At 39.3% G+C, this 27,787-nt stretch overlaps 1 protein-coding gene across 53 annotated transcripts in view, besides 1 other annotated feature; it reads left to right on the forward strand.

Annotated features, from left to right (window-relative positions):
- Positions 1–25,469, forward strand: part of MELK (maternal embryonic leucine zipper kinase) — a 104,788-nt gene extending 79,319 nt beyond the window's left edge. For 31 of the 53 annotated variants that reach the window (NR_046337.2, XM_011518076.3, XM_047424168.1 and 28 more), the window contains 6 exons: positions 5,028–5,150; positions 13,137–13,368; positions 17,097–17,193; positions 18,785–18,953; positions 22,621–22,724; positions 24,947–25,469. Coding sequence is in view for 52 of the 53 variants with exons in the window: in XM_011518076.3 (XP_011516378.1) it covers positions 5,028–5,150; positions 13,137–13,368; positions 17,097–17,193; positions 18,785–18,953; positions 22,621–22,724; positions 24,947–25,124 (903 nt within the window). In the remaining variant the exon portion in view is untranslated. The remainder of the gene's footprint in view (positions 1–5,027; positions 5,151–13,136; positions 13,369–17,096; positions 17,194–18,784; positions 18,954–22,620; positions 22,725–24,946) is intronic. The other 22 variants (XM_047424171.1, XM_047424180.1, XM_047424192.1 and 19 more) reach the window with 1 other exon arrangement.
- Positions 13,851–13,950: an enhancer, noted in NCBI's record as "active region_28355". NCBI's record gives its function as "activates an Ori minimal core promoter by ATAC-STARR-seq in GM12878 lymphoblastoid cells {active_cell/tissue: GM12878}" and the evidence as "EXISTENCE:reporter gene assay evidence [ECO:0000049][PMID:35858748]".
- Positions 25,470–27,787: the final 2,318 nt, after the last annotated feature.

The following is a 27,787-nucleotide window of genomic DNA, read 5'->3' on the forward strand; positions in this document are numbered from 1 at the left end:
TTTTTGTATCTTTAGTAGAGACGGGGTTTTGCCATGTTGGCCAGGCTGGTCTCAAACTCCTGACCTCAAGTGATCAGCCTGCCTCGGCCTCCCAAAGTGCTGGGATTATAGGCATGAGCCACCGTGCCCGGCCTCTAAAATTCTGAATGTTAACATGGCATTTTACAAACCTCCTCCCCTGACTCCTTTTTTTTCATAATAGCAATTCCTGATGGCTATAGAAAATGTTTAAGCCAGGCCGGGTGTGGTGGCTCACACCTGTAATCCCAGCACTTTGGGAGGCCAAGGCAGGTGGATCACAAGGTCAGGAGTTTGACACCAGCCTGGCCAATATGGTGAAACCCCGTCTGTACTAAAAATACAAAAATTAGCCAGGCGTGGTGATGAGTGCCTGTAGTCCCAGCTACTTGGGAGGATGAGGCAGGAGAATCGCTTGAACCCGAGAGGCGGAGGTTACAGTGAGCTGAGATTGCGCCATTGCACTCCAGCCTGGGCGACAGAGCAAGACTCTGTCTCAAAAAAAAAAAAAAAAAAAAGAAAATGCTTAAGCCACAGATGAGCTAAAAGGAAAATAGAATTTACCTATAAACCAACTACCTGTGGAGGATGTAGTTAATATTTATTGTGTCTTTCCAGTCTTTTTTTTAAAGCATACTTTTACACGCATTCAAGTACTTTTAAAGGACACATTATTGAATTGCAGAGAACAAAAAAATTGTTGGGAGTAAGATCTGTGATATGGAATATATAATACTTTATATGACATGAAACATTTTGATAAATATTTTCATATTTATGTTAAGGGTTTAGGTTTTTGTTTCTTTTAAAATTTTCATACTGAAATGGAGCATGTTGATTAGTGTTTGTTATAACCAAATTATTTTTCTCTACTTCACTGTCTTTGTCTCAGTTTTGTCATGGACTTTAAAAAATTTTTTTGTTTTATTTTTTGAAACAAAGTCTTGCTTTGTTGTCCTGGCTGGAGTACAGTGGTGTGATCATGGCTCACTGCAGCCTTAACCTTCCAGGCTCAAGCAATCCTCCTGCCTCAGCCTCCCTAGTAGCTGGGATTACAGGTGTGTGCCACCACACCTGGCTAATTTTTAATTTTCTATAGAAATGGAGTCCAGCTATGTTGCCCAGGCTGGTCTTGAACACCTGGGCTCAAGCAGTCCTCCCTCCTTTGCCTCCCAAAGTGCTGGGATTATTGGCATGAGTGACTGCACCTGGCCTGTCATGGACATTTAAAATGGTGAAGAAGCTTACATACATAGAGGCACCATGTCATTCCTAAATGCTTGTGTTAGTCCTTGTTTTGTGTGATTCTTTGTATTTCCCATGGCTTAAAATTCAGCTATCCAAATACTTTGCCAGATGGGTATGGAACTTTGTAATGTCATCTTCCCTCAGATTAATTCAGGTTGCAATGTAAATAATCTTAGCACTAGGAAATTGTACCTCATCCTCAGAGAAAGGTAGTTGGTTGGCCCTGTTTATGAAATCCAAGATAACACAATTGACTGTGTGGATGAAAGTTTGGTTTTTTTCCCCTTTATAGGCCTCAAAACTGTAAAAAAAAAACAAAAAATGTTAAAATGCCACCTCTTTTATGATCTTTTGTTGAATTCCCCCTCCCTCAAATTCCTTTAATATCTATCTCATTTAGATCTCCTTTTGGTACTCATCAGTCATGTGCTACAGGTATAGTGGGTCTTATGTCACTGCCAGAACTAACCTGCCCCTCTTTTTCCCTCCCTAGTTGGTCAGTGCACTGGCTGTTGTGTAAAGAAATCTCTGAAGGGAGATATCCTGCATGGTTTTCTAGTCTGTTGTTGGAGAGTTTTAATGGCTGGTAAATATTCTGTGCCTAGGCAGCTCTTTTGCACATGGGCTCCTTGAATCAGCCAATCCCTCATCCCACCCACACTGCCAAACCCTTTAAACTTTCAGGTGCAAGTAACACATCTGGGTCCAGGAAAATGCAAAACCCTGAATTTTGCATCTGCTCAAGGTAATTGGAGAAAGCTATTAGATACGTATACCTCTATGCTTAGAAAAATCACTTTCACTAAATTTTAAAATTTACGACACCTCAGTTAAGGGGCCTGAGACATTTTCCTGAGACATTGGATTGTCTTTTTTTTTTTTTTTTTTTTTTTTGAGACAGAGTCTTGCTTTGTTGCCCAGGCTGGAGTGCAGTAGTGTGGTCTTGGCTCGCTGCAACCTCCGCCTCCTGGGTTCAAGTGATTCTCCTGCCTCATTGTCCCGAGTAGCTGGGATTACAGGTGTGTGCCACCACACCTATCTAATTTTTGTATTTTTAGTAGAGATGGGATTTCACCATGTTGGTCAGGCTGGTCTCGAACTCCAGACCTCAGATGATCCACCTGCCTCAGCCTCCCAAAGTGCTGGGAACACAAGCGTGAACCACCACACCCGGCCTGGATTTTCTTATATCTGAATTGGCCTGGTCTCAATTGATCTGCTTATATGAGTTGTAAGTGGAAAAGACCTGGAAATATATTTACTCTTATCTTCCATCTACTCCCTAATGAACATTTAACTAATAATTTAATTATTTGCAAAGTCATATTATTGAATCAATTTTATGGCAGATCAAGAGACATTTTAGTAACAAGAAGTGAAATAGAAATCAAATTTTGGGTTCGCTTCTAATCTTTATGCAAATTATTGAGACACGAAGCAAGTCACATAGTCTGGTTGTACTGTTCTTCCCCTTGATAGAATTATCCCTTTTCTCTGGGGTGTTGTTTATAAGAAAGTAAGTAATCATGATCGATCAATCAATCAATAGGTGGCCCTTTCAGTGAAACAGCAGTACAGACTGATCCAAGAATCACAAATAACCACGTCATCATCATCAGTGTCATTAGCATTTTCAGGCCCCATGCTGGGCTGCTGGGAAACATATCTGTGTAAAGTATAATACTTGTTCTCTAAGAGTCAAGACATATATATACATAGATAATACTGCATCATAGTAGATGATGGGGGCCAGAGAAGTGGCCAGAGGTGTCCTGGGGAGCTTTAGAGGACAGGAATGATCACCATGGGATCCAAACTGGACCAACAGTCAAGGTTAGAAAGATGGAAAAGAAGTGGCACAACATTCAGGGCAAGATAAATGGAATCAGCAAAAGCAGGGGCACCTAATTTTGCTTGATGTATTCTGTTGACAGTGGCTGGACTTGTGTTAAAAAAGAAGAGTTCAAGTAGGGGGAGAGAGAGAGAGAGAGAGAGAGAGAACGCAAGTGAGCTGGAAGGGTGGACAAGAGCCAGATAGTAGAGAACCTGAAAATGCACATCAGAATTTTAGACTTTGTTCAATAGTTAATGAGGAGCCATTGATTTGTGAGCAAGAGAGAGAGAAATGAACATGATTTTGAAAAATTAATCCAGTGGTGTATACGATTGTTTAGTCAGGGGTGATATGTGTGCTATTAGTCCCTACTGGAGTACCCATGACAGCCGTCATTCGTACAGCACTGTACTTCTCCCCACCAAGCCTAGACTTAGCTTTAGGATTTTTCTCAGCCTAGCTCTCCATGCATCCAGTTCCAAATGACAGTAATTGGTAATCCTGGAGAACTCTGTCATCCTTGGTTGAGACAGTGGAAAGATTAGTGGTAGAGACAATATTGTCTGTTTGAATAGTCTAGGTATGAGAAGATTTGTCCTTGATCTAGGATAGTGGCAGTGAGACTTTGGGAAAAAAAGGATGAGATATAAGAAATTCAAGTAAAATTGCTTGGCTAGATTAACAATATATCGAGGGAAAAGGAAGGAAGGAGAAATAAAAACTCCAAGTACACCCACAGTCTTGAATTCAGGGTATAATTAGTATACCCTTAGTTTATAGAGGAGGAAGAATGAAAGAACAGAAGTTATTTTGGTGGCGTTGTTAGCGCAAGACCCCAAATGTCCTATCCCTAGGAGATCCTTCATAAGGCTAATTTTCTTCCTGGTAGAAATTATTCACTACCCTGTATATTCTTACAAAGAAGAAACCTATATTTCGAAGTTGTTTCCCCTCCATCTTCTACTTTGTCAGATCTTTTTATTTGTAAATTTGCAGTAGAGTTGTCTGGTATTATAGTGATTATGTGATAATGAAAAGTAGTATGCTATATAACATAAGAATGTTGCAAGACATATTATTTGAGAGTCGGAGGTTTTCCTTTCTGATAATTTGAACTGAAATTTTCTGACTTCCTTTTTCTGTACTGGATGGTCAGCTCCTTCAATATAGTGTCTCCTATTCATTTTTGTTTCCAGGGCCTTGCCCTATGCCTGGAATACAGTTTTGTGCTGCATAAAGACAACGTTGGACTGCATTTATGATGGTGGTCCCATAAAATTATAATACCATGTTTTTACTCTACCTTTTCTTTTTTTTTCTTTCTTTTTTTTTTAGACAGAGTCTCGCTGTATTACCCAGGCTGGAGTGCAGTGGCACAATTTCTGCTTGTTGTAACCTCCACCTGGTGGACTCAAGTGATCCTCCCACCTAAGCCTCCCAAGTACCTGGGCCTACAGGCACATGCCTGGCTAATTTCTATTTTTTGTAGAGATGGGGTTTCACCGTGTTGCCCAGACTGGCTCCAACGCCTGAGCTTAAGTGATCCACCTGTGTCAGCCTTCCAAAGTGCTGGGATTACAGGCATGAGCCACCATGGGGACGGCCTTTTTCTGTTTAGATTTGTTTAGATACATAAATACTTATTGTTGTGTTAGAGCCACCTACTGTATTCAGTACAGTAACGTGCTACACAGGTTTGTAGTGTAGGAGCAACAGGCTATAACGTACAGCCTAGGTGTGGCCTAGGTGTGTAGTAGGCTCTGACGTCTCAGTTTGTGTAAGTACATTTTATGATGTTCACACAGTGATAAAATTGCCTAATACATTTCTCAGAATGTGTCTCTGTCGTTAAGTGACGCGTGACTGTATTTTAAATATTGAATCATAGTACTGTCATCTTTAAGTTCTTCTGTCTTTCATTGAGTAGTCAAATAATTGGAGTCTGGAAGATGTGACCGCAAGTGATAAAAATTATGTGGCGGGATTAATAGACTATGATTGGTGTGAAGATGATTTATCAACAGGTGCTGCTACTCCCCGAACATCACAGGTTCGTCATTCTTATTACTATTTAAGGCAGAATCTATTGTTTCAATTATAAAAACAACCAGACTAATGTGAAACCAAGGTGTGCTTGCAAATTTAATGAATGCTTAAGCCACTGAAAATGTTTATGAGCGATAACTGGAATACGAATGAAAGGGAAGTCAATTATATCCAAGTTGAAGAAAGCCAAGATTCTATTTTAGAGCTCTTTACTGCTCCTTTATTTCCTGTTTATTATTATTATTTTTTGAGACTGAGTCTTGCTCTGTTGGCCAGGCTGGAGTGCAGTGGCACGATCTCGGCTCACTGCAACCTCTGCCTCCCAGGTTCAAGTGATTCTCATGCCTCCTGAGTAGCTGGGATTACAGGTGCCTGCTGCCTCTCCTGGCTAATTTTTGTATTTTTAGTAGAGACAGGGTTTCACCATGTTGGCAGCTGGTCTCGAACTCCTGACCTCAGGTGATCCACCCACCTCAGCCTTCCAAAGTGCTGGGATTACAGGCGTGAGCCACTGTGCCCGGCCTTCTTTTTTGTTTAAAATGAGGTATAATGAGGTATACTTTACATGTAGTTAAATAGGTAAAGTCACCTTTTTTAGTGTGCAATTCTATGTGTTTTGACAAATGCATACAGTTGTATAACCACCACCAAAATTAAGATATAAAACAGTTCCGTTACTCCTCAAAATTCCCTCATTCCCCTTGTGGCTAACTTCCCCTCCCAACTCTCGGTGGCAATTGATCTGTTTTTCTTTCCTTTTGATAATCTTTTTATTGTGACTTTAAGTTTGTTGAGCTTTTTAGATTAATGAAGATTAAGTATAGATTAATGTTTTTTATCAAATTTGGGAAGTTTTCAATATTTTATTTGCCCCACTCTCTTTATTTTATCTTCTGGTACTCCCCTTCCATGTATATTGGCACACTTGATGGTGCCCTACAGTACACTGAGGCCCTGTTCATTTTTCTTTATCTATTTTCATTCTGTTTCTCAGACTAATTTCAGTTAACCTGTTTCAAAGTTTCAGATTCTTTCTTCTGCTTACTGAAAGTTCTGTTTAATCCCTCTAGTGAATTTTTTGTTATGGTTATTGTACTCTTGAACTCCAGAATTTGTTTTGTTCTTTTAAATAATTTTATCTTTATTTATACTCTCTATTTATTGTGACATTGCTCTTACACTTTCCCTTGGTTCTTCAGATGTTTCCTTTTGTTCTTTGAACATATTTAAAAACTGATTTTCAGTCTTTGCTTGGTAAGGCCTACGTCTGGACTTCTTCAAGGACAATTTCCATTGACTGTTTTTGTTTTTCTCGTGTATATGGGCCATCCTTTTTGTTTGTTTGTTTGTTTTTTGTTTGAGACAGAGGCTCCGCTGTATCGCCCAGGCTGGAGCGCATTGTTGGGATCTCTGCTCACTGCAACCTCTGCCTCCCGGGTTCAAGCAATTCTCCTGCCTCAGCCTCCTGAGTAGCTGGGATTACAGGCACCCGCCATCATGCCTGGCTAATTTTTTTTTTTTCTATTTTTTTTTTTTTTTTGAGACAGAGTCTCGCTCTGTCACCCAGGCTGGACTGCAGTGGCGCTATCTTGGCTCACTGCAAGCTCCGCCTCCTGGGTTCATGCCATTCTCCTGCCTCAGCTTCCCGAATAGCTGGGACTACAGGTGCCCGCCACCACGCCTGGCTAATTTTTTGTATTTTTAGTAGAGATGGGGTTTCACCATGTTAGCTAGGATGGTCTCGATCTCCTGACCTTGTGATCCGCCCGCCTCGGCCTCCCAAAGTGCTGGGATTACAGGCTTGAGCCACTGCACCTGGCCTTTTTTTTGTGTTTTTGTAAAGATGGGGTTTCACCATATTGGCCAGGCTGGTGTTAAACTCCTGACCTCAGGTGATCTGCCTGCCTTAGCCTCCCAAAGTGCTGGGATTACAGGCATGAGCCACCGTGCCCGGCCATACTTTTTTATTTCTTTGCATGTATATGTCTTGTAATTGTTGAAAACTAGACATTTTAAATAATATAATGTGGCAGCTCTGGTAATCAGATTTATCCCCTCCTCAGGATTTGATATTATTGCTGTTTGTTGTTGTTGGTTAGTGACTTTTCTGAACTAATTCTGTAAAGTCGTTAAGTCATTTAGGTCAGTGTTGGGCTGCATTTATGATGGTGGTCCATGAGATTATAATATCATATTTTTACTATACCTTTTCTCTGCTCAATTAGCATAGTGATCAGCTAATGCTTGGCGAGGTTTCCTTAGATGCCTGGAATCAATTCGTCTCTCAGTCTTTGTGCCGGCTCTGTGTACATCTGGGGTATGCCTGCAACTTTCAGCCAGGCAGCTGACAACTCTGCATTAGATTTCATTTCCTATTTGTATAAAACCTCAAGGTCAGCTTGAGGTGAGATCTTAGATCCTTCTAAAGTGTTTTTTGTTTTTTATTTTTATTTTTTTGAGATGGAGTTTTGCTCTTGTTGCCCAGGCTGGAGTGCAATGGCACGATCTCAGTTCACTGCGATTTTCGCCTCCTGGGTTCAAGCAATTCTCCTGCCTCAGCCTCCCATGGAGCTGGGATTACAGGCATGCGCCACCACACCTGGCTAATTTTGTATTTTTAGTAGAGACGAGGTTTCACCATGTTGGTCAGGCTGGTCTCGAACTGCTGACCTCAAGTGATCCACCTGCCTCAGCCTCCCAAAGTGCTGGGATTACAGGCGTGAGCCACCATGCCCAGCCCCTTCTAAAGTCTTTCCTGAGCAAATGCACAGCCCTGGGTATGAGCACATCCTATACATGTACATTGGGCTTGTAGATACCCTGGTATATTTTGGAGCTTTTCCAATTCACTGTGGACATCTTATTCTCTAACTTTTTTTTCAGCATTTTTGTTAGTTTATTGTGGTCACCAGCTATTACTTACTGCTTCGGCAGCCACAATGTGCAACAATTGCCTGTAAATTTTTTTTTGTTTTTGAGATAGGATCTCATTCCGTCAACCAGGCTGGAGTCCAGTGGTGTGATCATGGCTCACTGCAGCCTCGACCTCCTGGGCTTAAGCAATTTTCTTGCCTCAGCCTCCCGAGTATCGGGGACTATAGGCATGCACCACCATGCCCAGCTAATTTTTACAAAATTATTTTGTAGAGACAGGGTCTCAATATTTTGCCCAGGCTGGTCTCAAACTCCTGGACTCAAGAGATCCACCCGCGTTGGCCTCCCAAAGTGCTGGGATTACAGGCGTGAGCCACTGCGCCTGGCACCTCTAAATCTTTTTAACAGATGCTGCTGGGGAAAAGGCTGTTCATACTGGGCAGGCTCTGAGTAAGGTCAAATAAAGACAGCTTTCAGGCTGGGTGCAGTGGCTCACGCCTGTAATCCCAGCACTTTGGGGGGCTGAGGCGGGTGGATCACCTGAGGTCGGGAGTTCAAGACCTACCTGACCAACATGGAGAAACCCCGTCTCTACTAAAAATACAAAATTAGCTGCCTGTGGTGGCACATGCCTGTAATCCCAGCTACTCGGAAGGCTGAGGCAGGAGAATTGCTTGAACCCGGGAGGTGGAGTTTGCAGTGAGCTGAGTTCACGCCATTACACTCCAGCCTGGGCAACAAGAGCAAAACTCCGTCTCAAATAAAAAACAAACAAAGAATAAAAAAAGACAGCTTTCATAGTAGGGTCTTCTAGGGAACTACTGGCCAGGCTAAATAATGACAGTTTTCTGAGCATGAAGCTTTGAAGGAGCTCCAACCTGTTCTGCCCCCTCCAGCGGCTCCTAGGTTGCTGGTCTTCATCGTGATTGTGGGCTGTGGGTTTCTAAGACTATCATAGAGCTGGAGAGAGAAGAATGGGGATAGGTAGGGCAAATTCAAACACCTCAAACTCACTGTTTCTACTTAGCTGTTTTCTATGAATAAATGCTGCGATCTTTGGCTAATACACAGAGTTCTGAAACAAAAGAGGTATACTTTGTTTATGGATAGGGAGATTTGAAGGTATAGATTTCAGTTTTTCCCAAAATGAATTTTAAATTTAATGTAATCTCAACTTTTCAGTGGATGTAAAATAAGTCAAAATGATTCTAAAATGTATGTGGAAATACAAAGGGGCAAGAATAACTAAATCATTCCTAAAGAATAAGAAGATGGGAGGAAACTGGTCAACCTGATAAAAGAACTATTATAAAATTAAAGAAAGTAAGATTTCCTTAATAAATAAAACAATGAAACAAATAAAACAATGAAACCTTTCATACCTTATATTTAGGTATGTCTCTTTAAAAATAACATAGCTAGGCCGGGCGCGGTGGCTCACGCCTGTAATCCCAGCACTTTGGGAGGCCAAGGTGGGTGGATCATGAGGTCAGGAGATTGAGACCATCCTGGCTAACACAATGAAACTCCATCTCTACTAAAAAATACAAAAAATTAGCTGGGCATGGTGGCGGGCACCTCTAGTCCCAGTTACTTGGGAGGCTGAGGCAGGAGAATGGCATGAACCCGGGAGGCGGAGCTTGCAGTGAGCCGAGATTGCACCACTGCACTCCAGCCTAGGTGACAGAGCGAGACTCCGTCTCAAAAAAAAAAAAAAAAAAAACAAAACAAACAAAGAAAAAAACATAGCTAGATTTGGTATGCAAACTGAAAATCTTGTCTTTTGAATTGAGCGCTTACCCAACTTATTTTTATTATGGATTTAGTTATTATATATCTTTCTTTTTTTATGTTTCCTATGTGTCTTTTTCTGTATTTCCCCCTTATTTCTTGATTTTTTATGTTAATTTCCCCCCACATTTTATTGGTTTCTATTTGATTTCTATTCTTTTAATATTTACTCTAAATTTTTAACATTTAATTTAACGAAATATAAAGTGAATCTGTATCTTTTTTTTTTTTTTTTTAAGATGGAATCTTGCTCTGTTGCCCAGGCTTGAGTGCAATGGCGTGATCTCAGGCTCACTGCAACCTCTTCCTCCTGGGTTCAAGTGATTCTCCTGCCTCAGCCTCCCAAGTAGCCGGGTTTACAGGCACCCGCCACCATGTCTGGCTAATTTTTGTATTTTTAGTAGAGACAGGGTTTCACCATGTTGGCCAGGCTGGTCTCGAACTCCTGACCTCAGGTGATCCACCTGCCTCGGCCTCCCAAAGTGCTAGAATTACAGGCGTGAGCCCCTGCACCCTGCTGTGAATCTGTATGTTTAATTTCCTTCTAAACAATATGAAGGCCTTAGAACACTTAATCTCTGATTACCCCTCCTGGATTCCATGCTATTGATGTGTCCAGTGTATTAGCTCTTGAATGTTTTTAACTTTTTATTTTGAAATATTTATGGATTCACAGGATGTTATTGAAGATATTATTCCACTTTCTTCTTGCTTCTATTGTTGCTATTGAAAAACCAACCTCAGTCTAGTGCCTTTTTAGTCTGTCTTTTCTCTCTGGCTCCTTTTAGGACCTTCTCTTTGCTTTTGGTGTTCTGCAGTTTCACTGTTAGGGCTACTGCGTTGCACACCTCCAGGGAACACACCATCTGTGTGGTGTCTCTGTGGATAGTGTCCTCTGGAGTTGTATAATCTGGTAAATAGAGATGTGGATTTCTTTTATGTATCCAGTTCATGATTCATCATGCTTTCTATGTATGGGGATTTGTATTTTTAATCAATTTTTGAAAATTTCTTGAATAATATACTGCTTTTTCTTTTTCTCCTTTTCCTTGTTTCTTTTTTTTTTTCTTTTTGAGACAGAGTTTCTCTCTTCTTGCCCAGGCTGGAGTGCAATGGCACGATCTCAGCTTACTGCAACCTCTGCTTCCCAGGTTCAAGCGATTTTCCTACCTCAGCCTCCCGAGTAGCTGGGATTACAGGTGCCTGTCCCCATGCCCAGCTAATTTTTGTATTATTAGTAGAGACAGAGTTTCACCATGTTGGCCAGGCTGGTCTTGTACTCCTGACCTCAGGTGATCACATGACTTGGCCTCCCAAAGTGCTGGGATTACAGGTGTGAGCCAGCGCACCCAGCCTGCTTTTCTTTAAAACAATATTTATATAAATTTATAGAGTACAAGTACAATTTTCTTAGATGCATAGTGGTCAAGTGAGAGGTTTTAAGGTGTCAGCTGAATAATGTACATCGCACCCCTTAAGTAATTTCTCATCACCAACCCCCTTCCATCTCCTCACCCTTCCAAGTCTACATTTTCTATCATTCCACTCTCTACATCCACGTGTACACCCTTTTTTAGCACCCACTTATGAGTGAGAACATGCAATATTTGTCATTCTGTGTCTGGCTTGTTTCACTTAAGGTAACCTCCACTTCCATCCACCTTGTTGCAAAAGATAGGATTTCATTCTTTTTTATGGTTGAATAGTATTCTATCTGTGTGTCTGTCTGTCTATCTATCTCACATTTCCTTTATGCAGTCATCTGTTGATGGACACTTGGGTTGATTTTGTATCTTTGCTATTGTGAATAAGTACTGAGATAAATATACAAGTGCAGGTATGTTTTTGATGTATTGATTTCTTTTCCTTTGGGAAAAGAAGTAGAGGGAATTGCTGCTTTTGCATTGTCCATACTATGTATATCTGGAACTTAGAATAGCCTTATGTTAGACATTTTATTTCATTTTCTGTTTCCTTCAACCATCTTTCACGTATCGTATGTCTTTTTCTGTCTTGGCTACATTCAGAGTTATTTCGGATTTATATTTCTATTAAAATATCTCTATTTCTTTTATTCTGTTATTTGACATGTGCATTGCACTTTTCATTTTTATCATGTTTTTATTTCTAGAAGTTTTTATTCTTTTTCAAATCTATTTGAACAGTTTTGGTAGTCTTTTGTTCTTTACTCATGTTTTTGTTTCACTATTTTAAACATGCAAACATACTTATTTATGTTCTGTATTTGATAATTTTAATATCTGAAATCTTTATGCTCATAGTGCTTGTGTCTTTTGGAATTTTTTATGTAGGTTTATTTTTCTTTGAACTCTATGGGAATTATCTGAGGCTTGGGTTAAGGGCTTGAGTTGGGTTGGAGTGAAGCTTTTCTTTCAGGTAGGAGTTGTGCGTGCTTCTACCAGGTTCCTGGGGCACAACTTAGCATAGGACTACTTTAAGTTAAATTTAGGCTTGAGGTTTCTGGGACCATGCAGGTTGTATTAATTTGGACCTTTATTTATCTGAAGACTGGCCTGTGTTTACTTACAAATTATTAAAAGAAACTTCATTTTTCTCCTCCCTCAGAACCAAGACCAAGACACCCTTTTTCTTGCCTATTCCCTTTGAAGAGCAGATTTATATTTAACTCAGCCTTTAATTTTAGCTATAGCCCTTCCTGGCTTTACATGGGAGCTTTGGTTCTAACTCACCACCTTGCAGAGGCCCAAGGCTTCTGTGGCTGTAGAAACACATGCTATAGGTTATCAGAGGCAGAAGATAGCTGCCCTTAGGGCAGCAGAGAGTTTCAGCCTTGGTTACTCCTTTGGATTCATTCTCATGTTTTTAGTTTGGCCTCTCAGGATTTTACTTACTCTCTTGCAAGCTCAACCATAAATTTAAAAGGATTAAAAAGTATTTTTTATCCAATATTTCTGTTAGAGTAGTTTAACATGTTTTTTCTGCCCTAATTGCTGACTAAACTTTTTTTTTGGTACATGTCAGAGGCAAGCCGTGACTATCTAGGTATGGAAAGCATTTCTTAGTGATTGATTTGTGGCCATTCACAATATTGCCTAGGATCTGAGTATGTGTATACACTCAGCCTGTATCATGTTGAAAATTACTGTCAATAGAACAGACTAAAGTGATCTACATGTATTAAAGAAAACTATATATTTTCAAATTTCCTAATGTCAATAATATCCTTTTGATAATTCATTTTAATAAAAATAGTACAAGGTAGTTTGCAAATGATCAAGGAATGTTGTAAAGAAATTGACTTTTCTTCTTCAGTGTGCTTTATCTAGTAACTTTTTTTTTCCAGTTTACCAAGTACTGGACAGAATCAAATGGGGTGGAATCTAAATCATTAACTCCAGCCTTATGCAGAACACCTGCAAATAAATTAAAGAACAAAGAAAATGTATATACTCCTAAGTCTGCTGTAAAGAATGAAGAGTACTTTATGTTTCCTGAGCCAAAGACTCCAGTTAATAAGAACCAGCATAAGAGAGAAATACTCACTACGCCAAATCGTTACACTACACCCTCAAAAGGTATTTGCTAAGTGAATTAAGCAGTAAGAAGTTTCATTTTTCTTACCATGTTAAGTAAACATATAGCAGGTCAGAAATGACTAGCATTGCTTTCAGGAATTTCTAGGAGAAGTGAAGCTGTTTTTTATCATGTCATTTGCATTAGTTAAAATGAAAGCATATTTGTCAATTTCAATTTATTCTCAAATGATACCAAGTTTTTCCTCTTTTTCACGTTTATAAAATTGAATCATAGCATCCTAGGATATCAAAGCTGAAAGGCAAGTTAGAGCTCATTTAATCCAACTCCCTTTTTCACAGCTAAGAAACCTGAGACTCAGAAGGAGTGAAGTGATTTGCCCAAGGTCATATACCCAGGTTTAGACCTTTCATGCCCATTTACCCCGACTTATGACTCAAGCTGACGCCTCCGCTGAGCCTTTACTTATCTGGATCTCCAGTTGTGGTGTCTGGTCCTGTTCTGCCCTATGGTATTACTGCCTGTCCTCAGCAGGCAGGGTGAATCCATGATGCCCTTCCAGATATCTGTCTTTGTCCAGTTATCACAACTTCCTCATTTCCCTTGGTTTCCTCTTCAATTTAGTCATGAGCAGTTATTTAAACCATTTCCTTTATGATACTTCACTGTTTTGGTTGCTGGCCTCATCTGGACACATTCTATTTGATCAGACTGCCTCTTAGAATACAGTGCCTAGAACTAAACTGAGTTTTCTAGACTAGGTCTCACTAGGGTAGAGTGGTAAGTGTCATGACAGTAGAGACTCTCTGCCTTGTTTATTGCAGCATGGCATGGTCTGTAGTAGGGGCCATACCTGTCTGGTACATAGTACACAGTACTAGACCTGATGCCTAGTACATAATAGGGGCCATATTTATGTAATGAATTAATAAATTAGAGCCCAAAGGAATTTTATTTACAGTGATCCTGTTTATGTCACTTTAAAAAATGTTACCTAAACTTTATTAGCCTTTTTCCCCCCACCAATTGTGACCTTCTCAAGTTTCAAGATTCTAACAAACCTAAACTCTGGAGCATTGCCATGTGAACTGCTGGGAAACCACATCCTGCCATTGTGCTTCTAGTGTACTAATGGAGCTCATAGCCAGTTTGAGGGGTTAACTTCTTGTCTATAAAGATATTACGGAAGACTTTGCCAGAATATTTGCTAGAAGTCCCATTTTTATGTTAACGTCATTTTCCATTTCATCAACTCAAATAACACTTTCCGCCAAAATGTGAGGCCAGTTTGGTGTCCTGATGATGTCTGTGTTTGTGTGTGTGTGTGTGTGTGTGTGTGTGTGTGTGTGTGTGTGTGTGTGTGTGTGATGGTGTGTGTGTGGGGGGGTGCGGTGGCGCTGCCTGTGGTTGTTATGAGAATTCAGTGAGATAGCCTCTACCCTGCAATGGTAGCTGCTATTGCATTCTTTCCCAATGAAAGGGTCTCTTTCTGTTCTGTTGTTTCTCTTACTGTAAATACAGTACCCTTTGTGACTCATGAGATTGGGCAGGGAGATAAAACGGACCTCAGCTCACCTTAGCTCATTCAACGATCTTTTTTTTCCCCTTTTTTTCTTTTTTTTTTAATTTCTTTGAGTTGGAGTCTTGCTCTGTTGCCCAGGCTGGAGTGCAGTGGTGCGATCTCGGCTCACTGCAACCTCTGCCTCCTGGGTTCAAGCGATTCTCCTGCCTCAGCCTCCCTAGTAGCTGGGATTACAGGCGCCTGCTACCACGCTCAGCTAATTTTCGTATTTTTAGTGAAGACAGGGCTTCACCATATTGGTCAGGCTGGTCTCAAACTCCTGACCTCAGGTGATCTGCCCTCTTCAGCCTCCCAAATTTCTGGGATTATAGGCGTGGGCCATTGTGCCCGGCCCAGGGCTTTTTTATTTAAAAAAAATTTTAATGCCATAATCCCTTCCATTATTGACATTTTTTACTTTTTGTGTAACTCTGAAGGTTTTGCAATATGGGTAGTTTGGAATTTATTTTATAATCTTGAAATATTATCAGTTGACATATGTTGTCATGACGAGAAAGATTGTGTTGGTCAAAGCTATTATTGGTTGTTTCTTTTTAAACACGAGCCACTTAAGGAAGCAAGTGGCTGAAGCCATGATTGTTAGCTTCCACTGGCACTTTGCATTTTTCTTTCTTTTCTTTTTTCTCTTCTCTCCTCTTCTCTTCTCTTTTCTTCTTTTTTTTGAGACAGAGTTTCACTCTTGTTGCCCAGGCTGGAGTGCAGTGGCATGATCTTGCCTCACTGCAACCTTCGCCTCCCAGGTTCAAGAGATTCTCCTGCCTCAGCCTCCTGAGTAGCTGGGATTACAGGTGCGCACCACCATGCCCGGTTAATTTTTTGTATTTTTAGTAGAGATGGGGTTTCAACATGTTGGGCAGGCTGCTCTCGAAACTCTTGACCTCAGGTGATCCACCTGCCTCGGCCTCCCAAAGTGCTGGGATTACGGGGGTGAGCCCACCATGCCCAGACCTGCATTTTACTTTCATTGTGAGTTATTTTTGACATAAACATAAATTTCATTTTCGTCACTCCTACACAATGCAGGCATTGGCAGTTTGTTGAAGGGCAGTTCTGTATGGTGATAGATACTGTCTGTATACAAAGATGAAAACTGTTTTTATAAATATTTCTGATTGCTCTTATTTTCTTGTTCTTGTGGAAAGTGAGAATGTAGCCAAATAGTCATAAACAAAACCAAGCCCCTAATCTCTTTTAAAATTTTGATATTATATCTTTGTTTTTATAGTGTGAATATTATCTCTAAAGGGTATAAAACTTTTAGATCATGAGCTAATCAGTATAACCAGATTCGTTAGTACAAATTTGTCATAAACTATCTGGAATGCAAATACCCTACTTAGAATAAAACACAAAATTCTGGAACAGGGAATATAAAAAATAATCAAAGCTTACATCTCTTTTTTTTTCCGAGATGAAGTCTTGCTCTGTCTCCCAGGCTGGAGTGCAATGGCGCGATCTCGGCTCACTGCAACATCTGCCTACTGGGTTCAAGGGATTCTTCTGCCTCAGCCTCCCAAGTGGCTGGGATTACAGGCGTGCGCCACCACGCCCAGCTAATTTTTTTGTATCTTTAGTAGAGATGGCATTTGACCATGTTGGCCAGGCTGGTCTCGAACTCCTGACCTCATGATCCGCCCTCCTCGGCCTCCCAAGGTGCTGGGATTACAGGCATGAGCCACTGTGCCTGGCCAAAGCTTACATCTCTTTAATAACTTATGTCAAGCTTTCACAGGGGTCTGTTCTTTTTGCCTAACATGAGTTGAATCGGGCTATGAATTCAATTAACACCTTTTAATACTAGATCAATTAAAAGCATAAATTGGGCCCTTGTATAAATACAGATTGACTTTTATTTTTAGAAAAAGAATCAGTAATTATGAGATTTGTATTTATATGATCTGTTTAGATTTATCATATGATGTTTATAATAAAATTAAAAGCATGGCCTAAATTTGCAGTGAAGAAAAAAAAGAAGAGCCACACATACAAAGCAAAATGATTTTGTTTTTATTATAAATCACATGGAAACATTTCTTGAAAGAATTAGAGCCTTCGACATCACAGGTCAAGTGATTATACTGTTTCTGAGTCAATGAATAATGTGATACCTGCATTATTATTAATAATAGAAATTTCAGAACCATAGTATGTGCTGCATATGGATTGTGTTTGTTCTGTTTCTAATAGCTAGAAACCAGTGCCTGAAAGAAACTCCAATTAAAATACCAGTAAATTCAACAGGAACAGACAAGTTAATGACAGGTGTCATTAGCCCTGAGAGGCGGTAAGTGTTTGGTTTTTTTAGACTCTAATCTTTAGTATATGTAACCAGATTTCCTTTTTCATGTATTAATAGACCTGATTAAGGTAAATCATCACATAGATTCTGTTGGAGAGTAGGAATATCTGTTTATGTGTGGATGACCTGTGGCCATTCCTGGACCTGTAGCCACTGCCTTCCTCATGGGGTAGAATCATGAAACTGATCAGCAGTAGGACGGCACCTTAAGTACAACAGGCTGGGAAGACAGTGGTCCTCACCCCAGCCAACTAGTTACCTCTCTGAGGCCCATCTTACCCTTCTCTTCTGCCAGTAAAATACAGATATCCTCTAACAGATTGTAGTCCTCCCAAATCGTAAAGATACTGTTGTTTCAAAGAAAATCCTCTGTATGAAAAGTTCTGCAGCATAGGTAACTCTTCAAGTTGCTATTCTTTTATAGCAATTTCTTAAAGGCATTGTCTATTTTCAAGACAATTGGAGAATTAGAATGTGGACAGGGTATTAGATGATATTATGGAATTATTATTAATTTATTGATGAAGAAACTGAGGAGATCAGGAATAAAATGATTTATCAAAGCTATATAGTACAAAGCTGGAGCCAGAACCCAGGTCTTCTCATTCCTAATCTTATGGTTTTTCTCCCACAGTCTGGAAGTGCTGGAGAACTACCTAGAAAGCCAACTAACACCACAGTAGTTTCTATTGAAAAATGCATTCAGGTTCCAAAATATTTACATAACTGACCATTTTTAGAACATTATCCGTTAGTATTTGGTAACTGCTTAGCTTCTCAATAATGTGTATATATGTGGTTGAACTAGTTTCCTTAATTTTATTTAACATTTTTCAGTGCAATGGTACTATGGTTTTTTTAAATCTCAGTGTCAGTGCTTGAAATACTTAACTATCTCCAACCAGAAAAATTTCAGAACAAAAGGATAAAATATGCCTAATAAACAGCCATATGTAACGTAAACTTCTCAGCACACTTTATGGTGTTGTCTTTATGGAAGACAACATCCTTATTCATTGGAGATGTATACTGAAGTGTTTCAGAGTAAAGTGTCATGATATGTTCAGATGAGTTACTTTCAGATGGCTTAGCAAATAAGTAAATTTAATGTATTATCTACATACATTAAATTTATGTGTATATATAGATATATACATTGATGTATATATATCAGTGTATATCTATATACATATGTACATTAATATATTATCTATATCCAAATAGAAAGCAAATGTGGCAAAATATGAACAATTGTTGAATCTAGGAGGATATACCGGTGTTCATTGTACTCTTCTTTGAACTTTTCTATATATATGAAAAAAGGATATATATATCCTTTTTTAAAAAGGAAGGGGATAAATAGTTTTGCTGAGTGGCAGTTGCCTGGTAGAAGTGTGACAGCTCCTGTCCAGGGGGAGATGGCTTTGGTGCTTCCTGAGGAAGAGAGAGGTGATCTGGCCCTGGCATACCTGAGTGAGGCATCCTAATGTGTATGAAGGGACAAAAGTTCACCCTTGTGGACCCCACAGGCCGGAGGCCCAGCTCTACTTGTGCCTTGTTTTATGTTTTGTTTCAGGTGCCGCTCAGTGGAATTGGATCTCAACCAAGCACATATGGAGGAGACTCCAAAAAGAAAGGGAGCCAAAGTGTTTGGGAGCCTTGAAAGGGGGTTGGATAAGGTTATCACTGTGCTCACCAGGAGCAAAAGGAAGGGTTCTGCCAGAGACGGGCCCAGAAGACTAAAGGTAAGCAGGCTGGAATTCTTTCATATGGAGCAGAAGCTGACTGCTAATGGACTGCCTTTTTTTTTTAAGGTGCTGAATGAATTGATTAGTGTTTTTTATTTGAGTATTTATTCACTTAGTTAATATATGTTTTTTGAGCAACTAAAATCTGCATGTTACTGTGCAGTCAGTAAATAGATACAGTCACTCCCTTCAAGGAGCAAACAGCTATCATTCAAATATTCAAGAACAGGTGGAGGGATTAGTCACAGGGGCAACATGGAGGTGAGGAAGCAGGGGGCACAGATGGAGAGCTGAGAGCTGCCTTAAGGAGGGGGACTTGAGCTCAGTTGTGTCCCTGATTCATGGATACTTTGTAGGCCCTCATGAAATATTTGAATGCATGGGAAGATAATTGGAACTTTGAGTGTGGTGTGTGTCAGGAAAATAGTGAGTGACAAGCGGGGAAGGTAGGCCGGAAGGGCCTCAAGGCCTGGCTAAGAAGGTGTGGATCTTATTTAATAGACCCAGTATGCTTTAAAAGGGTTAATGTGTCACTGGTGTGGACAATATATTTAGTCAAGGAAGGAAAGGAAAAATAAGCTGTTAGTTGATATAAAGTACTTTTTATTCTCTTGGATTCTCTCTGAGCATTCATTCAAACATCTGATGAATACATGTTTGTTTGGTGGAAGGGGAGTAATTAAGAGGTAAAGGGACGAATGAGACAGCCCATTCCTTGAGGAACTCTTAGGCTGGCTGTGAAAACAGGCTGGGATGTTGTTCTGAAACACTGGGCTCAGTGCTATAGTAAAAACACATTCCAAGAGGTGTGGGCCCAAGCAGGGGAGAAGATGGTAGTGTGCCCATCATTTGGGGACTGGGTCTATGTTTAGTTTTTGCACTGAGACTCTCGTAATGAGCAAATCTGGGCGGTTTGAGGGAAGGAAAATGCTGAGCTTTTGGGCAGAAGGGTGTTTTAGAGGAGAATGTTCTGTGATCTCATTTCTGTTCTGTCTTAAAGTGGAAGAAGATAGGAGTTATCCACTAGCAGTCATTACCTTGAACTTTTGTAGTGTGCTGAGACGTTACATATGGCTGTGTATTAGGCATATTTTATCCTTTTGTTCTGAAATTTCTCTGGTTGGAGATAGTTAAGTATTTCAAGCACCGACACTGAGATTTAAAAAAACCATAGTACCATTGCACTGAAAAATGTTAAATAAAATTAAGGAAACTAGTTCAACCACATATATACACATTATTGAGAAGCTAAGCAGTTACCAAATACTAACGGATAATGTTCTAAAAATGGTCAGTTATGTAAATATTTTGGAACCTGAATGCATTTTTCAATAGAAACTACTGTGGTGTTAGTTGGCTTTCTAGGTAGTTCTCCAGTACTTCCAGAATGTAGGAGAAAAACCACAGGATTGGGAATGAGAAGACCTGGGTTCTGGCTCCAGCTTTGTGCTGTATAGCTTTGATAAATCATTTTATTCCTGATCTCCTCAGTGTCTTCATTTGTAAAATCTGGAAATAATGCCTACCCTGGCAACCTCACACGGCTGAGATGTAGAAACAAGACTCTACATATGGGATGCTACATGGCATATTAAATGCTTTATGAGTATAAGGTGACATGTTTCCAATGTCAAGGATTACTATCAGTGTTGAGCATTTTACCACCCATGTATAGACCCATGGTCCTAATTAGCACAGTCCTAAGATTGAAAACTTTAACTTTAGATCATTAACACTTTTTAATGCTTTTAAGTTTTTGCAAAACTGAAGGACTTTCTTTGGGAAATTAACCTTATTTTTTTTCACCTACTTCAAATACTGTACTAAAAACTATACACTTACCGGAAGAGTTGCAAGGATAGTAGAAATAATACCTTAGTTTTTTAAGATAGCAAATCATATGTAGTTATGTCCTCTTTTAGGAAGCAGTCTATAAAAAATCCAAAATTTAAGTAGATAAATTAGGATTCATTCTTTATTTTACCAAAGCAGTAATATATTGTGATTTGAAGGTGTTCAGTTTATTATTAATATCATCTTAACAGAGCCAATTTAGTTTGGTGAAAAGAGTGCTGGATCAGGAACCAAGAAAGAGAGGGTCCCTTCGTTAACACTCAGTTTCACGACATTTGCTCTATGGGTGTATTGGGTGCACTATTATTTATCTGGTATTTTCATTATGTTGACTCTCCTTTAACAAATGGATTTATAGAGATATAACTGACATATAATAAACTTGCACATATTTTATTTTATTTTATTTGTTGTTAATTTTTTGAGGCAGAGTCTTGCTCTGCTGCCCAGGCTGTGGTGCAATGGCATGATCATAGCTCACTGCAGCCTCAACCTTCTGGGCTCAAGTCATCCTCCTGCCTCAGCTTCCTGAGTAGCTGGGATGCGTGCTACCACACTTGGCTAATTCTTAATTTTTTTTGCAGAGACAGGGTCTCACTATGTTACCCAGGCTGGTCTTGAACTCCTGAGCCCAAGTAATCCTCCTGCCTTGGCTTCCCAAAGTGCTGGGATTACAGTCATGAGCCACTACACCCGGCCAACTGTGCATATTTTAAAGTACAATTAATATGCTTTGGCATTATATATAACATCTGTGAAACCATTGCCACAATCAAGATAATTTTTTAAAACTCAAATTTATTTAAAAGGAAACCTTTATATCATTAGGGTTTTTTTGTTGTTGTTGTTAATTATGTTTTCGAAATCAGTTGGGAACAAATACATATTTAAAAATATTTATCCATGTGCCACCCAGAATTACCTTGTCTATCTTGTATCACACTATGAGAAGCACTACCTTAAGAAATTTGTATCTCTTCTTTGGGCCATAGGTTCTTATTTTGAAAAGTAAGATAGTTGGATACTTTTCTTCCTAGGCATTTTGTTATTTATACAATGAACTCAAACCTGAAAGATATAGAAACTATGGTTTTGTTTGACAGTGAAGGTACTTACCAGGAAGGGAGGGATTTTTGTGTGTCCAGGACCCACTAAAACAGTGCCTACCACATAGTAAACATTCAAAAGTAGTTGTTGAATGAATGAAGGATAAATATCAATTAGGAATGAAATTATCTCTGAGAATTAGGCTCTCAGTCAATGAGAAAAAATAATATGACATCACTTTTTTAAAGGAATACCTGTTACATTTATTTCCTCATAGAACTGTCATAAAATCAGCTCCTGGAACTCTATAATATTCTTTAAATAATCCAGAAAGAGTTAAGGAAACATATCCAACTAGGTACAAAGCAAACTTTGTATGGTGTTTGTTTATCTTTCCGTGGTATACATTTCAGGACTGTTAATGTCTCTTAAAATAGTGTGGGAAGGGGAAAATAGGCAAAGCTCAAACAGTTAGATGGGTGCTCTTTAATATTTATTTCTTTAAAAGGATTGGTAGGAGAGGAAGATGAAAGTATGAAAAGGAAGCTATGGGTGTGTTTACTAATAACCATAACTTCTCCAAGCTCTCCCAGTGGGCCATTAACTCACTAAGAGTTGACTGTAAATTCCTTTGATATTTTTTAGGAAATAGTTCCATTTGAAACAGTACTATATTGAGGAGTTTTGGAACTCTTGATCTGGTGTGATGGTCTTTGTGTTGATGTAAAAATTTACTTCTCATCTCTTCTTTTTCTTTTCTTAGCTTCACTATAACGTGACTACAACTAGATTAGTGAATCCAGATCAACTGTTGAATGAAATAATGTCTATTCTTCCAAAGAAGCATGTTGACTTTGTACAAAAGGGGTAAGAAGCACATTTACAAGCTGTTGCATTTATTAGTATCTTTTGGACTTTGAGAAAATAGGAGTTGGTTGGGCGCGGTGGCTCACGCCTGTAATCCCAGCACTTTGGGAGGCTGAGGTGGGCAGATCACTTGAGGCCAAGAGTTCAAGTTCAGCCTGGCCAACATGGAGAAGCCCTGTCTCTACTGAAAATACAAACAATTAGCTGGGCATGGTGGCACATGCCTGTAGTTCCAGCTACGTGGGAGGCTGAGGCATGAGAATCACTTGAACCTGGGTGGAGGCTGCAATGAGCTGAGATCACACCACTGCACTCCAGCATAGGTAACAGAGCGAGACTCTGTCTCAAAAAAAAGAGAAAATAGAAGTTGATCTCCTCACCCCTGTGCTTTAGAAAAAATGTATTTCTCCCACCTCATTCCCAAAAGCTTTTGAGGTAGTGTTATTGCTTATAATTTATTCTCTTTTGTTTGGTTCAAGCTATAAAAGTTTTAGAAGCACAGATATTGTCCCACTTTATTTCAAAATAGGAAAATTCAAAATTCTTCTGGCTTTCTTGTAGATCCTCTATTTTCCTTTGATTGTCTGCTTTACAATAATATTTATAAATTATAATCTAAATTTGTGAGACATTTCAAATGAATCAGGGATTTATACAGAATCCTTCTCTTCATGACTGGCTGTTTTACAGGGCTGGGTTTTCAGTGCTTTAGGAAGTTTTTTCACCTTACCTCTCTCCCGCTGTTGAAGGAACTGCCATCAAAGCCTCCTTGGTTATGATCTCCTGGTCTCAATAGCCAGGCCTCTTCTGGTCACCCAAGATGGCCGTATTTCTAAGCATTTCCATTCAATTATTTCCCTTTAAAATTTCTTTATTAAAGCAACCAGAAGAGACATGCATGGATTTAAACATGTAAATAGAATAGTCAATATAGAGTAAGATTTGAAGAAACAATCTTGTGCAGATATAATTTTTAGTTTTTAGTTATCTGTAAATGTTGGCAAGCATTCCTTCTGTGAACCCTGGCATTCCTCTCAGGCTTCATTAGAACACATCTCTCCCACTCTGATCTCTTCTTCATGCTTGGGGCTATGAGCCTCTGGGCATACCTCTGTCACAGGTCTCTCAATGATCTATTATCTAACATGTGACTAAATTGTTCTATGCCTCATCTTCTTGTCAAGAATCTTAACTTCAGGGTGCTCCTTTTGGCATTTTTGATGTTGACTGCTTATTTTTGAGAGATCAAGCCTCTTTCCCAAAACACATGACTAAGTTAGTAAGAAAAAGAATATTTTGGTACATAACAGTATGAAACAGAAAAAAGTACATAACTGAAACAATGTAACTTCTCCACACATCTGTGGAACAGCACTTAATCAGGAACCCTTAAGTATTTAGGGAATTGAAACTTAAAATCAGTCCTATTTATTGAAGATTGGTAAGACAAACAAAACTCTAAAATAGAATGTAAACTAATTAAATATTATTACATGAATTAAATTTATACAGCTTTGCAGGATCATACGTATGTCTTAAGATGTGTTTCAGGCTTCATTTTGACTGGGCCTTTCCATTCTCAGAGTAGATAATGCGGCAGTTCTATCTATAAATGCCGTACGTTTCAGTTATGGGAATATACCATTTCCTTGGGCTTTTTCTTCTGCTTTTCTTTCTGCCATAAAGTGATGTGATGATCGTCATAAGAGGTTATCTCTCATTACTAATTAGAAAAACCTCAAAAACACACGTGCCTTTCTGACAGGTTACTGGCTTCAGCTTTATTTATATGAAAGACAAGTTTCTGACAAGGCTCACACACATGAAATATTATCTTTCTTGCGCTTTCCTTTGTTGTGAATGTTGTGGAAATGCCCAATGTTTGCGGATTACACGTTGAAAGGATTGCATAAAGAATGCCAGATTTCTTGAGCATGAATGGCATGTATAGCTATGAAACAGGGGCTTTTCTTTGGAGCAAGGGAGACTTGTAATAAAGCCTTTTCATGCTTATTCTTAGGATCCTAGTTCAGTTTCTGGGAAAACACCAGTCATACTCTATTACTAAAGCATAGCTAGGTCATTTGGAAACTGTAAACAGTAATACATTGCTTAATATGAAATAATGGTTCATTTCCTCCACTGGCCTCCTAGAGGCTTAGAAAACTCTTATACAGAATATGGTTCTCCTACTAACTAGCTTCTTATCTTGTTTTTCACAGTTATACACTGAAGTGTCAAACACAGTCAGATTTTGGGAAAGTGACAATGCAATTTGAATTAGAAGTGTGCCAGCTTCAAAAACCCGATGTGGTGGGTATCAGGAGGCAGCGGCTTAAGGGCGATGCCTGGGTTTACAAAAGATTAGTGGAAGACATCCTATCTAGCTGCAAGGTATAATTGATGGATTCTTCCATCCTGCCGGATGAGTGTGGGTGTGATACAGCCTACATAAAGACTGTTATGATCGCTTTGATTTTAAAGTTCATTGGAACTACCAACTTGTTTCTAAAGAGCTATCTTAAGACCAATATCTCTTTGTTTTTAAACAAAAGATATTATTTTGTGTATGAATCTAAATCAAGCCCATCTGTCATTATGTTACTGTCTTTTTTAATCATGTGGTTTTGTATATTAATAATTGTTGACTTTCTTAGATTCACTTCCATATGTGAATGTAAGCTCTTAACTATGTCTCTTTGTAATGTGTAATTTCTTTCTGAAATAAAACCATTTGTGAATATAGCAGGCTTCTCTTTTTTGTATTTGATTTTGATCCAAATAAAACCTCAAATGGCTTCCTGACTATTAAGTAGAGACTATTTGGAGTATGTTTTATCTGTTATCAAATATGCCTTGGGCAGAAAAACAGATAAGAATTCATTTGCATAATTTTTTCCTGTCTGATTTAAGTAGGATTTATTGAGATCGTTAACTGTCACAGCTGTGGTTACCAGAGTTAAACAACACATTTAATATGTTGAATAAAAGAGTATTGACTTTAAGTATGTTTGGTCAACAAATGATAAGTATCCGAACTATGAACCCCCCCTGAAATGTTACTTTATGGTAATTTCCCTAAGTCTCAATGTTGGCCCCAAATTTGTATTTTTATTTCATTTTATTGGTCTCCAAAGGCTAGAACTCAAGTTATATTGGTATGGATTTCACCAATTAAACTAGTTGGAGAAAAAATAGCACTCCTTCTGGTCAGTAGTGAAGGGAATGTTTTGTCATTCATTTATTCAATAAATGTTTACTAAGTGCTTACAAGCATTAGGTCCTCAGGCTGAAGCTGCTACTGTCTAGTAAACCCAAGGATTTACTAACTGTATTTGTAGCATAGCGGGACCCACCCACTTTGCATGGAATTAGAAATGAATTCTTGGAAGAAACAGCATTTGTCATTGAAGGATATATAGGAGTTCAGCAGAAAGAGAAGAGTGAGGAGTATGACTTTTTTTCTTTCTTTCTTTCTTTTTTTTTTGAGACGCAGTCTCACTCTGTCACCCAGGCTGGAGTGCAGTAGCGTGATCTCAGCTCACTGCAGCCTCGACCTCCTGGGCTCAAGCAGTCTTCCCGGTTCAGCCTCCCAAGTAGCTGGTACTACAAGCGTGCGCCACCACACCCAGCAAATTTTTTTACTTTTTGTACAGACAGGGTCTCACTATGCTGCCCAGGCTGATCTCAAAACTCTTGATCTCAAGCAGTCCTCCCACTTCAGCCCTCCAGAGTGCTGGGATTACAGGCATGAGCCACCACCCCAGCTTGGGACATGACATTTTTGAGAGAACAATATGTGCAAAGACAGGGAATTATAAAATGTCATTATGTGTTTGGGGTAGAAGCAGAAGGTAGTGGAAGCGGGAAATGACAGTAGATGAGGATTGAAAGTTTAGATGGAAATAAGTCATGAAAGTACTTGAATGCCCCATTAAAATAAGTGTTTTGGCAAAGGAGAGCTGTCAAAGGGTTTTTAATATTTTAACAACAGCTTTGTTACGATGTAATTCATATATCATAAGATTTACCCCTTTAAAGTGTGTACAATTCAGTGGGGGTTTAAGAGTGTATTCAGGTCGGGCGCCATGGCTTATCCCTGTAATCTCAGCACTTTGAGAGGCCGAGGTGGGTGGATCACCTGAGGTCAGGAGTTTGAGACCAGCCTGGCCAACATGGTGAAACCCCGTCTCTACTAAGAACACAAAAAAGTAGCTAGGTATGGTGGCATGTGGCTGTAATCCCACCTACTTGGGAGGCAGAGACAGGAGAATCACTTGAATCTGAGAGGTGGAAGTTGCAGTGAGCCGAGATTGTGCCACTGCACTCCAGCCTGGGTGACAGAGTGAAACTCCATCTCAAAAAAATAAATAAAATAAAAGTATATTCATAGTTGTGCAACCATCACCACAATGTAATTTTAGAACATTTTTATCATGTCAAAAAGAAGCCCCATACCTGTTACCGGTCACTCCCCATACCCCACCCCCCAGCCCCTGGCCACCACTTACCTACTTTCTGTTTCTATGAATTTGACTGGTGTATGTCATATAAATGGAATCATGCAATGTAAGACCTTTGGGGTTTAGTTATTTTTACGTAGCATAACATTTTCAAGATTTATAATGTAGCATATATCAGTACTTCATTTGATAACTGAATAATATTCCACTGTATGGATATGTGACATTTTATTTATCACTTGATAGACGTTTGGATTGTTTCCACTTGGCTATTATGAATGCTGCTGTGAATGCTTATATACAAGTTTTGTGTGGACATGTTTTCATTTCTCTTGTATATATACCTAGGAGCAGAATTGCTGGGTCATTTAACATTTTGAGGAACTATCAAACTGTTTTTCCAAAGCCACTGCACCATTTTATGATCCTGCCAGTGATGTACGAGGGTTCTAACTTTTCCACATTCTGTCAAACACTTGTTATCTGTTTTTTTAATTTTAGTCATCCTAGTGGGTGTAAAGTGGTATGGCATTGTGGTTTTGATTGTCTTTTCCGTGATGATTAATGATGTAGAGCAGTTTTTAATATGCTTTTGGCCAT

The sequence above is a fragment of the Homo sapiens genome, chromosome 9 (assembly GCF_000001405.40).
Source record: "Homo sapiens chromosome 9, GRCh38.p14 Primary Assembly".
In the NCBI taxonomy this organism is placed as follows: Eukaryota; Metazoa; Chordata; class Mammalia; order Primates; family Hominidae; genus Homo; species Homo sapiens.